This window comes from Homo sapiens, chromosome 2 (assembly GCF_000001405.40).
Source record: "Homo sapiens chromosome 2, GRCh38.p14 Primary Assembly".
NCBI lineage: Eukaryota > Metazoa > Chordata > Mammalia > Primates > Hominidae > Homo > Homo sapiens.
Genome location: NC_000002.12, coordinates 153526806 through 153544351, shown reverse-complemented (window position 1 = coordinate 153544351; position 17546 = coordinate 153526806). Strand labels below are relative to the sequence as shown.

The 17546-nt window shown below is 38.9% G+C and overlaps 1 protein-coding gene across 5 annotated transcripts in view, besides 2 other annotated features; it reads right to left on the bottom strand.

Moving 5' to 3' along the window:
- Positions 1 to 17546, bottom strand: part of GALNT13 (polypeptide N-acetylgalactosaminyltransferase 13) — a 1388282-nt gene that overhangs the window by 912223 nt on the left and 458513 nt on the right. The gene's annotated exons all lie outside the window — the stretch shown is intronic.
- Positions 128 to 678: an enhancer, noted in NCBI's record as "NANOG hESC enhancer chr2:154400187-154400737 (GRCh37/hg19 assembly coordinates)". NCBI's record gives its function as "activates a minimal SCP1, AML or CMV promoter by ChIP-STARR-seq in primed H9 embryonic stem cells {active_cell/tissue: H9 hESC(primed)}" and the evidence as "EXISTENCE:reporter gene assay evidence [ECO:0000049][PMID:30033119]".
- Positions 9071 to 9674: an enhancer, noted in NCBI's record as "OCT4-NANOG-H3K27ac hESC enhancer chr2:154391191-154391794 (GRCh37/hg19 assembly coordinates)". NCBI's record gives its function as "activates a minimal SCP1, AML or CMV promoter by ChIP-STARR-seq in naive and primed H9 embryonic stem cells {active_cell/tissue: H9 hESC(naive and primed)}" and the evidence as "EXISTENCE:reporter gene assay evidence [ECO:0000049][PMID:30033119]".

The following is a 17546-nucleotide window of genomic DNA, read 5'->3' as shown; positions in this document are numbered from 1 at the left end:
AGAGATCAAGAAGCAACGGAAGAAAGTTATGGCCACTGGATAGAATTATTTTTCCTTGGATATTGAGGATTTAGGGAAATTGTTAATAATAACAATCAGCAGAGGTTTTATAACTCATGCAGCAACCGTATATTCAGTGTTTATTTCTTAAATCTTACTATGCCAAAACTTATTTGGATTTATGACCCAGAAATCATACATTTCTGTATTTATTTTTTCCATCTTTCTCTGTACGTTGTGCTGATGATCGATCACCAGGCAGAGGAAGATAAAACTCTGAATATTTATGTGGAGCACAGGAAAGGTCCCTGCTGTGAGCTATTAGCTCAGCTGATGACGTGTGCTCCCAGTTGGAATCTGAAGGGATGGTAGGAGCACTGCTGCAGCCCTTTATAAACGGCACATAAAAAGCACCTGTTTGCCTGCTTCATTACACTTCTAATGAACGCCTCCAGGGAGCAGAAGTGGGGAACTACTTTCCTGCTATAAATAGAGAAAGGTATTTAAAAGTTCTCATTTAAATGTGAGTACTGTTATCAGTAACAATTTGCAATAATGTAATACCCCTCAGGAATATAAATGAGTCAGTAGTTGCATGTATTCGTAAGGTGACCTATAGCAGGAAGACGGTTTCTTGTACTGTTTTGACAATTTTGTTTTCCCAGAAGATCTGAGTCACAGGCATTTATTGAGTTTTCTTAAGCTTTCTCTACCTAACTCCTGCTCAACCAAGAAAAAAAGGCTCAGTTCAGCCACCACCTCTTCTGAGAAACTTTCTGAAGCATTCCATCTCCCTAACATGTATAAACACACACTCCATTAAGAATGCAGAATGTGTTCTTATGTATAATTATCAATTTATATAATTTACATTACAAGATCACAAATGCTTTAATAAAGGTTTATGACCTTGTAATATAATTATAAATTTATTTTTGCTACTTCTAGAGAAAGATAGCATCTTATTTTTCACTGAGTCTCTAGCTCTTCTAAATGGGCTGGTCACAGGGCATGCACTCAACAGTAAGATGTAGGCAGGTACAATAAACACAAGAATTATTGTCTTCCTTCAGCTTCTGTGAGATGATTCTTCTCTGGCCATTCCTTCTCAGTCTCCTTTGTGGTCTCCATTTCCTCTGTTCAACTGTTCAACCAATCTTATATATGGGTATTGCCAAGCATTCACCTCCAACCTTATAGTATTTCCACTCAACAGATTATTTCTGGGCAACCTCATCTACAAACTTGTTTTAAAGCAGAGGCTTCCAAATTGCAGCTTCCAAGGCAATCAATGGGGCGTGGAAAGAAATTATCAAAACTTCTATTTACAGATATATTTTTATCTCAGCCTTTTAAAATTTCTATTTATAATATGCATTGCACACAAAATCATATAAGTCATTATAAATACATGTAAAGTTGGTTACATGCTCAAAATTTTATTAGATGTGTACTTTTATTGATGAGATATAGCATATATAAAATATATATGACTGCCTCCACAAGCAATGGGGTAGAAGTCGAATTCATGCTCACCAAATCTGTTGGTCTTGACAAAGATTCTTTGCTTGACCAAACTTTTGTCAGATTCCTGAAACTTCTCCTAGGCCTAGCTATGCAACTTCTTGCAAGTTTCAGTTTTCAACAAAAACCTTGATAGGGTTGTTTAGCCAGAATCCCCCATCCTTCATATCTGATCACCCTCAATAGCTAGTTGGGTTCTTCATCCTCTACCATCCCTCAAGTGATGTCTGATCACCCTGGCCTGTCTTCAGCAAGAATCCTGTTAGTTCAGTTTAATCAAAATATTCCTTACCCCTGATGTTTCCTCTTCATAATTTTCCATCTACTGATCCCCAACTTGGCCCCTTGCTATAAATTCCTAGTTGCTCAAGCTGTATTCAGAACTGAGACCCATTCTATACTTAAATCTCTTTTCTCCTATTGCAATAGTCCTGAATAAAATGTGCTTCTACTTCCGGTTTTTTTTTTGTGTGTGTGTGTGTTTGTTTGTTTGTTTGTTTGTTTTTTGAGATGGAGTTTTGCTCTTATTGCCCAGGTTGGAGTGCAATGGCATGATCTCAGCTCACTGCAACCTCCACCTCCTGGGTTCAAGTGATTCTCCTGCCTCAGCCTCCCAAGTAGCTGGGATTACAGACCTGTGCCACCACGACTGGCTAATTTTTTTGTATTTTTAGTAGAGATGGGGTTTCAACATGTTGGCCAGACTGGTCTTGAACTCCTGACATCAGGTGTTCCACCCGCCTCAGCCTCCCAAAATGCTGGGTTTACAGGGGTGAGCCACTGTACCCGGCCTTTAATTACTGTTCAGCTCTAGTATTCGTTTGCAACTTGTCAGGGCCAAGAGAAAATATCCCCTTCACCCTTTGAAGGTTCATTTAAAAATTACTGACTAGAGGCAGATGGATAGGAGAAAAGGCATAGAAATGTATTTGATCATAGTTTCATATAACACAAGAGCTTTCAGAATGAAGGCCCAAAGATACAGGGGAAATTGTCCATTTTTATGCTTATGTTCAACAAACTATGGGCAACTGTATAGAAATACGTTGAACAAAAAAGCTAATGCTAATAACTGAGTGGGGAAACCAAGCAAGCCCTGTCCAGCTAGATTCTTCCTGTTTTCTCTAAGCATGTATTCCCCTCCTTTCTGAGGTTAAGCCAGGACACCCTCTGGAATGAAGGTCTTATGGCCTACAATCAAACAAGGTAGATCAGATAATTTATTTATGACCAGTTTTTACACAGAAACGCAGGGGAGAAGGTTAGAGTAATAATTGTAGGTTTTATGACTGGCTTTGGGGAAAGGTGTTCTGGTTTCTATGACCCACACTGGAGAAGAAGGATTCTAGTTTCTATGGTGCCTTGAGAAAGAAGAGAAATGAGAGACAGGAGGGCAAGAGAAAGTCAGTCGATTAGTCCATTCTCACCCTGCTATAAAGAACTGTCTGAGACTCGGTAATTTATAAAGGAAAGAGATTTGATTGACTCACAGGTCAGCAGGATTAGGGAAGCCTCAGGAAACTTACAATCATGGCAGAAGAGGAAGCAAACACATCCTTCCTTCACATGGTGGCAGGAAGGAGAAGTGCAGAGCAAAGGAGGGAAAAGCCCCTTATACAACCATCAGATCTCATGAGAATTCACTCTCTATCATGATAACAGGGTGGGGGAACAACACCTATGATCTAATCACCTCCCACTGGGTCCCTCCCACAACACCTGGGGATTATAGGAGCTACAATTCAAGATAAGATTTGGGCAGGGACACAGCCAAACCATATCATTCCACCCCTGGCCCCTCTCAAATCTCATGTCCTCACATTTCAAAACAAAATCATGCCTTTCCAACAGTCCCCCAAAGTCTTAGCTCATACCAACATTAAGCCAAAAGTCCAAGTCCAAAGTCTCATCTGAGACAAGGCAAGTCCCTTCTGCCTATAAGCCTGTAAAATAGAAAGCAAGTTACTTACTTTCTAGATACAATGGGGGTACAGATATTGGGTAAATACACACATTCCAAATGGGAGAAATTGGTCACAACAAAAGAACCAAAGGCCTCATGCAAGTTTGAAACCCAGCGGGGCAGTCATTAAATCTTAAAGCTTCAAAATCTGCTTTGATTCCATGTCTCACATCCAGGTCACACTGTTGCAGGAGGTGGGCTCCCATGGACTTGGGCAGTTCTGCCCCTGCGGCTCAGTAGGATACAGGCCCGGGGGCTGCTTTCATTGGCTGCTGTTTAGTACCTGTGGCTGTTCCAGGTACATAGTGCAAGCTGTCAGTGGATTTACCACTCTGGGGTCTGGAGGATGGTGGCCCTCTCCTCACAGCTCTGCTAGGCAGTGCCCCAGTGGGGACTCTGTGTGGGAGCTCCAACCCCACATTTCCCCTCTTCATTGCCCTAGTAGAGGTTCTCCATGAGGACTTCACCCCTGCAGCAAACTTCTGCCTGGACATCCAGATGTTTCCATACATCCTCTGAATTCTAGGCAGAGGTTTCCAAACATCAACTCTTGTCTTCTATGCACCTGCAGGACCAATACCATATGGAAGCTGCCAAGGCTTGGGACTTGTACCCTCTGAAGCCATGGACTGAGCTGTACCTTGGCCCCTTTTAGACATGGCTGAAGTGGCCAGAATGCAGGACACCAAGTCTCTAGGCTGCACACAGCAGGGGGGCCCTGGACCAGGCCCACAGAACCGATTTATTCCTCGTAGGCCTTCAGGCCTCTGATGGGAGAGGCTGCCATAAAGGTCCCTGACATATCCTGGAGACATTTTCCACATTGTCTTGGCAATTAACATTTGGCTCCTCATTACTTGTGCACGTTTCTGCAGCTGGCTTGAATTTCTCCCCAGAAAATGGGTTTTTCTTTTCTACCATATTGTCAGGCTGCACATTTTCCAAACTTTTATGCTCGGTCACCTCTTAAATGCTTTGCTGCTTAGAAATTTCTTCTGCCTGACAATCCTAAGCCAAAAGAACAAAGCTGGAGGCATCACACTACCTGACTTCAAACTATACTACAAGGCTACAGTAACCAAAACAGCATGGTACTGGTACCAAAACAGAGATACAGATCAATGGAATAGAACAGAGCCCTCAGAAATAACGCCGCATATCTACAACTATCTGATCTTTGACAAACCTGAGAAAAACAAGCAATGGGGAAAGGATTCCCTATTTAATAAATGGTGCTGGGAAAACTGGCTAGCCATATGTAGAAAGCTGAAACTGGATCCCTTCCTTACACTTTATACAAAAATCAATTCAAGATGGATTAAAGACTTAAACGTTAGACCTAAAACCATAAACACCCTAGAAGAAAACCTAGGCATTACCATTGAGGACATAGGCATGGGCAAGGACTTCATGTCTAAAACACCAAAAGCAATAGCAACAAAAGACAAAGTTGACAAATGGGATCTAATTAAACTAAAGAGCTTCTGCACAGCAAAAGAAACTACCATCAGAGTGAACAGGCAACCTACAGAATGGGAGAAAATTTTCGCAACCTACTCATCTGACAAAGGGCTAATGTCCAGAATCTACAATGAACTCAAACAAATTTACAAGAAAAAAACAAACAACCCCATCAGAAACTGGGCAAAGGACATGAACAGACACTTCTCAAAAGAAGATATTTATGCAGCCAAAAAACACATGGAAAAATGCTCATCATCACTGGCCATCAGAGAAATGCAAATCAAAACCACAATGAGATACCATCTCACACCAGTTAGAATGGCAATCATTAAAAAGTCAGGAAACAACAGGTGCTGGAGAGGATGTGGAGAAATAGGAACACTTTTACACTGTTGGTGGGACTGTAAACTAGTTCAACCATTGTGGAAGTCAGTGTGGCGATTCCTCAGGGATCTAGAACTAGAAATACCATTTGACCCAGCCATCCCATTACTGGGTATATACCCAAAGGACTATAAATCATGCTGCTATAAAGACACATGCACACGTATGTTTATTGCGGCATTATTCACAATAGCAAAGACTTGGAACCAACCCAAATGTCCAACAATGATAGACTGGATTAAGAAAATGTGGCACATATACACCATGGAATACTATGCAGCCATAAAAAATGATGAGTTCATGTCCTTTGTAGGGACATGGATGAAATTGGAAATCATCATTCTCAGTAAACTATCGCAAGAACAAAAAACCAAACACTGCATATTCTCACTCATAGGTGGGAATTGAACAATGAGATCACATGGACACAGGAAGGGGAATATCACACTCTGGGGACTGTTGTGGGGTGGGGGGAGGGGGGAGGGATAGCATTGGGAGATATACCTAATGCTAGATGATGAGTTAGTGGGTGCAGCGCACCAGCATGGCACATGTATACATATGTAACTAACCTGCACAATGTGCACATGTACCCTAAAACTTAAAGTATAATAATAAAATAAAATAAAATAAAATAAAATAAAATAAATAAAATAAAAATAAATAAAAAAGTAAAAAAAAAAAAAAAAAGAATTAAAAAAAAAAAGAAAAGAAATTTCTTCTACCTGATACCCTAAATAATCTTTCCCAAGTTCAAAGTTCCACAGATCTCTAGGGCAGGGGAAAAATGCCAGCAATCTCTTTGCTAAAGCATAGCAAGAGTCACCTTTATTCCAATTCCCAAAAAGTTTCTCATCTCCATCTGAGACCACCTCAGCCTGGACTTCATTGTCTAGATCACTCTCAGCATCTTCATCAAAACCATTCAACAAGTCTCCAGGGAGTTCCAAACTTTCCCACATTTCTTCTGAGTCCCCCAAACTGTTCCAACCTCTGCCTGTTACCCAGTTCCAAAGTTGCTTCCACATTTTCAGCTACCTTTATAACAGCAATCCACTTCTGGTACCAATGTAGTATATTAGTCCATTCACATGCTGCTATAAAGAACTGCCTGAGACTGGGTAATTTTTAAAAGAAAGAGATTTAACTAACTCACAGGTCAGCAGGGCTGAGGAGGCCTCAGGAAACATACAATCATGGCAGAAGGGTAAGCAAACATGTCTTCTTCACATGGCAGCAGGAAGGAGAAGTTCTGAGTGAAGGGGGAAAATCGCCTTATAAAACCATCAGATCTCGTGAGAATCCACTCGCTATCACAAGAACAGCATGGGGGAGCTGCCCCCACAAGCGAATCCCTTCCCACCAAGTCCCTCCCACAGCACTTAGGGATTATGAGAACTACAATTCAGGATGAGATTTGGGTGGAGACACAGCCAAACCATACAAGTCACAGAAAAGCTTTTGCTTCAGAGGCCTTAATTTGTAGTACTTTCTGAGTCCCAACACAGTCTTGATGTTTTCTCCAACTTAGGAAATGACAACAGCATTTATCAGCCACCCAAGACAGAGGATGCACTCCTCCCTCACAAAGAATCTATACTTATAAACATCTTGGAGCCCTCTTCTTTTGCCCTTTCTGACAGCTACAACCTTAGTTCAAGCTCTTGCCTGGTGGTTGACACAGCCTTAAAAAGAGCTTGTCTCTGCCAGAATGCTCTTTGGAAAACCCAACTGTAACCTGTTTTAAATTTCTGCAATTAGCCTCCAAAGCTTCCAAGGCCAAGTTCAATTTTCATCTTCATGTCCTATACAGCCTCTGCAGCTTCATATCTCTCTCTCATGTTTACAGAGAGAACTACCTGTGGCTCCTTGAATACAGCAGGCAAAGCATACCTTTGAGCATTCAGGCACACAGAATCTTCTTGCTGGACTGTTCCACCCCTACTTTGTCTACTAAAGCCTACTAATCCTTTGAAAAGCAGCTCAATATTCACCTCCAATAAGAAGTTCTCGCAGTGATTTCCCAGTAAGATGTAGTTAGCTTTTAACTAAATGTACATAACTATGTGTCAAATACTGTCAAAGCCTTTATCATACTATTTTATAAATATGCATTCATTTCTATTTTAATTACACATTTCTATCATAATTTAATGTATTTTATTGCAAGAATAATTGTATCTTATTTTCATACTTTTATAATTACACGTCTTTGGACAAAAATCCTTTAGCACACTATTTTAAAATTTCTGATTTACAGGTTTATGTGTCTTCCCACCAAAGTGTAAGTACCCTGAGAGTAGAAATCATTTATTTCACAATGTAAAGTTCTACACTATTATATGCTAATGAATATTAGTTAAATGAATGAATTAAGTGCAAATTAAAATGGAAAGGATTCTCATAGTAAAAAATAAAAATGATAAGCATATACCTGTTTTGTTCAGTTTAAAACTTGATATCTCTCTCCTGGTTTCTGGTTCCACATGTAAGGAGCTTACAAGTCATCACTTCATCTTAACAAGTAAAAAGTTAAACAAACTAAAAAAAAAAACTCAAAATCACTTCTTACATCAGTAACAGAAATGAGGCAATAGGGAAAATGAATGCCCTCCTCCTCCAGATTGGACAGACAGGCAGGCAGATACAGAGAATTACAACACATTGAAGCAGTAATCCTTGTGAGAACCAGCACTGGGATAGAGAAACCTGAACTGACAAATTGCTGGAGGCTAGGTGTGAATAAATCTCAAAGTTAAAAACTCCAGGGAAACTCAGTCATGCAAGGCCCTCATGCTTTTGTTAGTTTTACCATTGGAGCTTGATCATATTCCCACACTAAAGATGGGAGAGAAAAGAAAACCCTCATGCTTCCAGCAGGAGGAGGAGAAAAGGAACTATTTTTAAACATGTCAGCGTACTCTATTCTTAAAAAGTTTCTCCTAAGGGCAGACTTTGCTAAGAGGGGCCTAACTTGCTGGCAAATTAGTTTTACTCAACATGCCCCGAGTCAGATAACTGAAATACCTCTTAGTCTAGGTAGATACTTTCACTGGATAGGTAGAGTCCTTTCCTAAAGGGTCTGAGAAGGCCACTGCAGTCATTTCTTCCCTTCTGTGAGACTTAAGTCCTCAGTTTAGCCTTCCCACCTCAATACAGTCTGATAACAGACCAGCCTTTATTAGTCAAATCAGCCAAGCAGTTTTTCAGGCTCTTAGTATTCAGTGAAACCTTTATATGCCTTATGGTCCTCCGTCTTCAAGAAAAGTAGAATAGACTAAAGGTCTTTTAAAAACACACCTCACCAAGCTCAGCCACCAACTTAAAAAGGACTGGACAATACTTTTACCACTTTCCCTTCTCAGAAGTCAGACCTGTCCTCAGAATGCTACAAGGTACAGCCCATTTAAGCTCCTATATAGATGCTCCTTTTTATTAGGCCCCAGTCTCATTCCAGACACCAGACCAACTTAGACTGTGCCCCCAAAAAAACTTGTCATCCCTACTATCTTCTGTCTAGTCATACTCCTATTCACCGTTCTCAACTACTCATACATGCCCTGCTCTTGTTTACACTGCCGGTTTACACTGTTTTTCCAAGCCATCACAGCTGATATCTCCTGGTGCTATCCCCAAACTGCCACTCTTAACTCTTGAAGTAAATAAATAATCTTTGCTGGCAGGACTATGCTGAATCTCCTTAGGCACTCTCTAATCAGATATCCTGAGTTGTCCCAATTCTTAGACCTTTTATACCTGTTTTTCTCCTTCTGTTATTCCATTTGGTTTTTCAATTCATACAAAACCGTATCCGGGCCGTCACCAATCATTCTATACGGCAAATGTTTCTTCTAACATCCCCACAATATCACCCCTTACCACAAGACCTCCCTTCAGCTTAATCTCTCCCACTCTAGGTTCCCACGCCGCCCCTAATCCCGCCTGAAGCAGCCCTGAGAAACATCGCCCATTCTCTCTCCATACCACCCCCCAAAAATTTTCGCCGCCCCAACACTTCAACACTTCAACACTATTTTATTTTTCTCATTAATATAAAAAGTCAGGAATGTCAGGCCTCTGAGCCCAAGCCAAGCCATCGCATCCCCTGTGACTTGCACGTATACACCCAGATGGCCTGAAGTAACTGAAGAATCACAAAAGAAGTGCATATGCCCTGCCCCACCTTAACTGATGACATTCCACCACAAAAGAAGTGTAAATGGCCGGTCCTTGCCTTAAGTAACGACATTACCTTGTGAAAGTCCTTTTCCTAGCTCATCCTGGCTCAAAAAGCTCCCCCACTGAGCACCTTGCGACCCCCACTCCTGCCCGCCAGAGAACAAACCCCCTTTGACTGTAATTTTCCTTTACCTACCCAAATCCTATAAAACGGCCCACCCTTATCTCCCTTCACTGACTCTCTTTTCGGACTTGGCCCGCCTGCACCCAGGTGAAATAAACAGCCATGTTGCTCACAAAAAAAAAAAAAAGAAAGAAAGAAAGAGGGGCCTAACTTGCTAGCATTTTATCAGAACCTAACTGACCTTGGGGAAAGTAAGTACCCAATTCCAGCTCACTCTAGCCGTCCTGTTTCATCTAAAAGGGGAGAAACAAATCGGAGAAACACTTGTGAAGTTAGTCCAGAGTCATAGGCCTATGAAAAAAAACTGAGACCTAATCATAGGATTATAAAATATTTCTTCCCCTCACACCTACCAAATTATTAATGGCCTATTTACCGCTATTTCTGGTACCCAGTACATCATGTCCAGCTATTAAGAAAAAAGTACAAGGTATACTAAAGGCAAAAACCACAGTATAAAGAGAGCAAGCATCAGAACTCAATATGGCAGGGAGGTTGGAATTATCAGACAGGGAAGTTAGAACAATTATTATTAATATGCTAAGGGTTCTAAAGGATAAAGTAGGCAGCATGCAAGAAAAGATGAGCAATATAAGAATAGAGATGGAAATTCTATGCCAGGCACGGTGGCTCACGCCTGTAATCCCAGCTCTCAGGGAGGCAAGAGGTGGGAGGATAGCTTGAGCCCAGGAGTTCGAGACCTGCCTGGGCAATATAGCAAGACCCCGTTCTCCAGAAAAAGAAATAAAAAAAGACAAGAATAGAGATGGAAATTCTAAGAAACAAAAAGAAATACTAGAGATCAAAAACACAATAACAGAAATGGGCTTATCAGTAGACTGGATATAACTGAGGAAAAAAATCTGAGCTTGATGAAATACCAATAGATACTACCTAAACTAAAAAGCAAAAAAAAAAAAAAAAAAAAAAGAAAAACCTCAGGATATCAAAGTACTTTGGGACATCTATGAAAAATGCAACATACGTGAAGGGGAATAGCAGAAGAAAAAGAGAGAAACAAACATCAAAACAACGACTGATAATTTTTTCAAATTAATAACATTTTCCAAAACATAGATCAAAACAGCTCAAGAACACCAAGCAGGCCAGGCATAGTGGCTCACGCCTGTAATCCAGCACTTTGGGAGGATGAGGCGGTGGATCACCTGAGGTCAGGAGTTTGAGACCAGCCTAGCCAAGATGGCAAAACCCTGTCTCTACTAAAAATACAAAAATTAGCTGGACGTGGTGGCAGTTGCCTGTAATCCCAGCTACTTGTGAGGCTGAGGTGGGAGAATTGCTTGAACCTGGGGGGCAGAGGTTACAGTGAGCCGAGATCAAGCCACTGCACTCCAGGCTGGGCTACAAAAACAAAACTCCATTGAAAAAGAAAAAAAACCCCAAGCAGAATAAATAAATGCCTCTCCACCTAAAAAGACCAACTACACCTAGGCCTATCATTATACCCCTTTCAAATTACAGAAAATGAAAGATAAAGAAAAACATTTTTTAAAGAAGGCTAAAGGAAAAAAATTTTACCTTTGGAGTAACAAAAATAAGAATTATATCTGACTTGTCAGAATCCATTCAAGCAAAAAGAGAATCGAATACCCACAAAAATCAATAAATTCATATATATTACATGAGATGTTTTGATACAGGCAGGCAATGCCTAATAATTAGCTCATGGAGAATAGAATATCCATCCCCTCAAGCATTTATCTTTTGTATTACAAACAATCCACTTTTATTCTTTTAGTTGTTTCAAAATAAGGAAATTATTGGGAACTGGAGCAAAGGTAACTTTTGTTATGTGTTAGTAAAAACCTGGCAGCCCTGTGCCCCCACTCTAGGGATCTGTGGAACTTTGAACTTGAGAGTCATGATTTAGGGAATCTGGTGGAAGAAATTTCTAAGCACAAAGTGTTTAAGATGTGGCCTGGGTGTTTTTTAACAGCCTATGCTCACATGTGTAAGCAAGGAAATAATGTAAAACTGAAACTTATAAAGACAAAGCAAACCATAAAATTTTGAAAAATTTTCTCCTGTCCATGTGGTAGAAAAGAAAAGCCCATTTTCAGGGGAGGAATATAAGTATGCTGCAGAAATTTGCATAAGTAAAGAGGAAACAATTACTAATAGTCAAGACAATGGGGAAAAGGCCTTCAAGGCATTTCAGAGACCTTTGAGGTAGACTCTCCAATCACAGGTCCAGAGGCGTATGAGAGAAGCATGATCTTTTGTGTCAGGCCCAGGGCTGTGCTGTCTCATGCAGCCTTGGGACACAGCTTCCTGCATCCCAGATGGACCAGCTCTAGCCGTGGCTCAAAAAGGCTAGGTAAAACTTGGGCTGCTGCCTTCAGAGGGGTGGCTTCCATGTGGTGTTAAGCCTGTGGGTATGCAGAATGCAAGAGTTGAGATCTGGGAGCCTCCTAGGTTTCAAAGAATGTATGGAAAATCCTGGATGTCCATGCAGAAGCCTGCTGCAGGAGTGGAGCGCTCACAGAGAACCTCTACTAGGGAAGTGCGGTGGGAAAATGTGTGGTTGGAGCTTCAACAGAGCCCCCACTGGGGCACTGCTTAGTGGAGCTGGGAGAAGAAGGCCATGGTCCTACAAAATCTGGAATGATAGATCCATGGACAGCTTGCCCTGTGCACCTGGGAAAGCTGAAGGCACTCAAAGCCAGCCCTTGAGAGAAGCCACAGGGCAGAGACGCTGAAGGCCTCGTGAGCCCACCCTTTTTATCAGTGTGGCCTAAATGTAAAACAGGGAGTGAAAGGAGATTATTTCAGAGCTTTAAGATTTAATGACTGTCCTGCTGGGTTTCGGACTTGCATGGGGCCTGTAGCCTTTTTCTTTTGGTCAATTTTTTCCTTTTGAAATGCAAGTATTTATTCAATGCCTGTATCCTCATTGTATCTTCAAAGTAACTAAGTAGTTATTATTATTATTATTTTACAGGCTCATAGGCAAAAGGAACTTGCCTTATCTCAGATGAGATTTTGGACTGTGGACTTTTGAGTTAATGCTGAAATGAGTTAAGACTTTGGGGAACTGTTGGGAAGGCAAGATTGTATTTTTAAATGTGAGATGAACATGAGACTTGGGAGCAGAGTGGTATGGTTTTGATCTGTGTCCTCACTCATGTTGAAATGTAATCCTCAGTGCTGGAGGTGGAGACTGGTGGGAGGTGATCAGACCATGGGGGCAGTTTCTAAAGGTTTAGCACCATCCCAATAAAGCTTGTAATGGGGTTCTCATGAAATCTAATTGTTTAAAAGTGTGTGGCATCTCCCCCTCTCTCCTACTCCAGCCATGTAACACTTTGCTTGCTTCCCCTTCACATTCTACCATGATTGTAAGTTTCCTGAGGCTTCCCCAGAAGCTGAGCAGATAGCCAACATCATGCTTTCTGTACATCCTGTGGAACTGTGAGCCAATTAAATCTCTTTTCTTTGTAAATCATCCATTCTTAGGTATTTCTTTATAGCAATGCAAAAATGAACTGATACAGATGGGTAGTTTGCAAATATTTTCTGCCACTCTGTTGGTTACCTCTTCACTTTGCCAGTTGTTTTCTTTGCTATACAGAAGTTTTTTAACTTGATATGATCCCATTTGTGCATTTTTGCATTGGTTGCCTGTGCTTGTGGGGTATTACTCAAGAAATTTTTGCCCAGACCAATGTCCTGAAGTTTCTCCAATGTTTTCTTGCAGTAGTTTCACAGTTTTAGGTCTTAGATTTAAGTCTTTAATCAATTTTTATTTGATTTTTGTATATTTCAAGAGATAGGGTTCCAGTTTTGTTCTTCTGCATATGGGTATCCAGTTTTCCCAGCACCATTTATTGAAGACATTGTCTTTTCCTCAGTGCATGTTATTGGCACATTCATGGAAAACAAGTTTACTGTAGGTGTGTGGATTTGTTTCTGGGTTCTCTATTCTATTCACCTGTGTGTCTCTCTTTTTGATTTTTTTTTGTTCTGTTTTGTTGCCAGTACCATGCTGTTTGGTTACTACAACTCCATAGTATAATTTGAAGTCAGGTAATGTGATTGCTCCAGTTTTGTTATTTTTGCTCAGAATAGCTTTGTTTATTCTGAGTCTTTGTGATTTCATATGAATTTTAGAATTGTTTTTTCTACTTTTTTGAAGAACATCTTTGGTATTTTGAAAGGGATTGCATTGAATCTGTAGATTGCTTTGGGGAGTATGGACAAAATTAATAATATTGACTCATCTAATCCATGAGCATGGAATGTCTTTCAATTTTTTGAAATTTTCTTCTATTTCTTTCATCAATATTTTAGAGTTTTCATTATAGATATTTTTCACTTCTTTGGTTGATTCATAGGTATTTAGTTTTAGGTGAGGCTGTTGTGAATAGGATTTTTTTTTTCTTTTTCACCTTGTTCACAGTTGGCATATAAAAATGCTACTGATTTTTTTGTCCTACTTTGCTGAATTTGTTAATCAATTCTAATAGTTTTTGGTGGAGTCTTTAGGTTTATTCAAATATAATATCATATCTGCAAACATGGATAACTTAATTTCTTCCTTCCCAATATGAATGCACTTTATTTTTCACTTGTCTGATTGCTTTAGCTAGGACTTCCAGTACTATGTTAAATAACATTGGTGAAAGTGTTATTTCATGTTCCTTATCATGTCCCAGATCTTAGAGTAAAGCCTTTTTGTTTTTCCCCATTTAATATGGTACTAGCTGTGTGTCTATTTCACATGGTTTTTATTATGTTATTATGTTCTGTACCTAGTTTGAAGGGTTTTATCATGGAGGAATGTTTAACTTTTCAAATGCTTTTTCAGCATCAATTCAAAGGATCATTTGGTTTTTGTCCTTCATTCTGTTGATATGAGGTATCATATTGATTGATTTGCATATGTTGAACTATTCTTGCATCCCAGTGACAAATCCCACTTGATCGTGATGATGATGTTTTCCACATACCGTTGAATTTGGTTTGCTAGTATTTTGTTGAGGATATTTATATCAATATTCATGAGATATTGGCCTGTATTTTTTTTAATGTGTCTTTGTCTAGTTTTGATATCAGGGTAATAGTGGCTTTGTAGAATGAGTTAGGAAGTAATCCCTCCTCCTCTATTTTTTGGAGCAGTTTGAGTAGGATTGGTATTAGTTACTCTTTAAGTGTTTGGTAGAATTCAGCAGTGAAGCCATTAGTTGCTGAGCTTTTCTTTCCTAAGAGACTTTTTATAACGTCTTTGATCTTGTTACTTGTTACTGGCCTGTTTGGGTTTTTAATTTCTTCATGGTTCACTCTGGGCAGGTCATATCTGTGTAGGAATTTGTCCATTTCTTCTAGATTTTCCAAATTATTGGCATATAGTTGCTCATAGTAGCCACAAATCATCCTTTGAATTTCTGCAGTATCAGTTGTAATGTCTCTTTTTTCATCTCTGATTTTATTTGGATTTTTTTCTTTTTTATTTAGTCTAGCTAAAAGTTTGTAAGTTTTGTTTAACTTTAAAATAACAACTTTTTGTTTCAGTGATTTTTGTATTGTTTTCTTCATTTCAATTTCATTTATTTCTGCTCTGATCTTTATTATTTCCTTTATTCCACTGTTTTGGGGTTTGTTTTCCTGCTTGCTTTCTAGTTGTTGAGGATGCATTTCTGGTTCTTTATTTGAAGTTTTTCTAATTTTTTTGATGTAAGTATTTATAGCTATATACTTCCCTCTGAGTACTGCTTTTGCTGTATCCCGTAATTGGTGAAATGTTGTGTTTCTATTGTCGTTTGTTTCAAGAAAATTTTCAATTTCCTTCTTAATTTCTTTATTAACCCACAGGTCATTCAGAAACATATTATTTAATTTCCTTGTATTTGCATAGTTTCAAACATTCTTCTTGTTACTGATTTCTAGTTTTATTCTGTGCTGGTCAGAGAACATGGTTGATATTACTCAGGGTTTTTAAAAGTATTTTAAAAATTATTCTGTGACCTAACATATGGTCTATCCTTAAGAATGATCCCTAGGCTGAGGAAAAACCTGTGTATCCTGCAGTTGTTAGATGAAATGTTCTGTAAATATCTATTAGAACCATTTGGTTTACAGTACAGATAGAGTCCAATGTTTCTTTGATTTTCTGTCTCAAAGGTCTGTCCAGGGCTGAAAGTAGGGTGTTGAAGTCTTCAGATATTACTGTATTGGAGTCTCTCTTTAGCTCTAATAATATTTGCTTTATATATCTGAGTACTCCCATGTTGAGTGCATATATACTAAAATTTGTTATATCCTCTTGCTGAATTGACCCCTTTATCATTATATAGTGACCTTCTTTGTATCTTCTTATAGTTTTTGTCTTAAAATCTATTTTATCTGATAAAAGTATAGCTGCTCCAACTCTTTTTTGGCTTCCATTGGCATGGAATATCTTCTTCCATCCATTTACTTTCAGTTTATGTATGTTTTTTATAGATGAGGTGTGTTTCTTGTAGAGAACAGATCAATGATCTTGTTTTTTTAATGAAGTCAACCATTCTATATCTTTTGATTGGAAAGTTTAGTCCATTTACATTCAATATTATTATTGATAAGAACTTACTATTGCCACTTGTTATTGGTTTTCTGATTGTTTTGTGGTCCCCCCTCCCTTCTTGCTTTCCTTCTCGTATTCCCATTAGTAAAGGTGATTTTCTCCAGTAATATAATTTAGTTTCCTGCTTTTTATTTTCTGTGTATTCACTGTATGTTCTTTGGTTTGAGGTTACAAAGAGGCTTGCAAATACTATCTTACAAACCACTATTTTAAGCTGATAAAAATTAAATCCTGTTTGCATAAACAAGCAAAAAGAAAACCAATAAAAACTGTATGCCCTAACTTCATCCCTCAACTTTTTAACTTTTTGTTATTCCCATTTATATCTTATGATACTGTCCATGTCTGGAAAATTTGTTGTAGTTATTGTTTTTTATTGGTTCATCATTTAGTCTTTCTACTTAGGGTAGTAGTTTACACACCACAGTTACAGGGTTATAATATTCTGTTTTTCTGAGTACCTACTGTTACCAGTGATTTTTGTACATTCAGGTGATTACTTATTGCTCATTAACATCCTTCTCTTTCTGATCAAAGTATTCCCTTTAGCATTCCTTTAGGACAGATCAGGTGATGATGAAATCCCTCAGATTTTGTTTGTCTGGGAAAGTATTTCTCATTTGTGTTCTTTGCTGGATATGCTTTTTAGGATAAAAGTCTTTTTCCTTCCGCACTTTAAATATGTCTTGCCACTCTCAACTGGCCTGTAAGGTTTCCACTTCAATGTCTACTGATAGATGTATTGGAGCTTTATTGTGTGTTATTCGTTCCTTTTCTCTTGCTGCTTTTAGGATTCTTTATCCTTTATTTTTAGGAGTTTGATTATTAAATGTGTTGAGGTAGTCTTCTTTGGGTTAAGTCTGCTTGGTGTTATATAACCTTCTTGTACTTAGATAATGATATCTGTCTGTAGGTTTGGGAAGGCATCTGTTGTTATCCCTTTGAATAAACTTTCTACTCCCCTCTCTTTTCTACCTCCTCTTTAAGGCCAATAACTCTTAGATTTGCTATTTTGAAGCTATTTTCTAGATCCTGAAGGCATGCTTTATTTTTTTTTAATTCTTCTTTGCTTTTGTCTCCTCAGACTGTGTATTTTCAAATAGCTTATCTTTAAGGGTTTCTTCTTCTGCTCAGTTCTGCTAATAAAAGACTCTGATGCTTCTTCATTACACCAAATGCATTTTTTCAGCTCCAGAACTTCTGCTTGTTTATTTTTAATTATTTCAATCTCTTTTTTCATTTTATCTGATAGAATTCTGAATTCC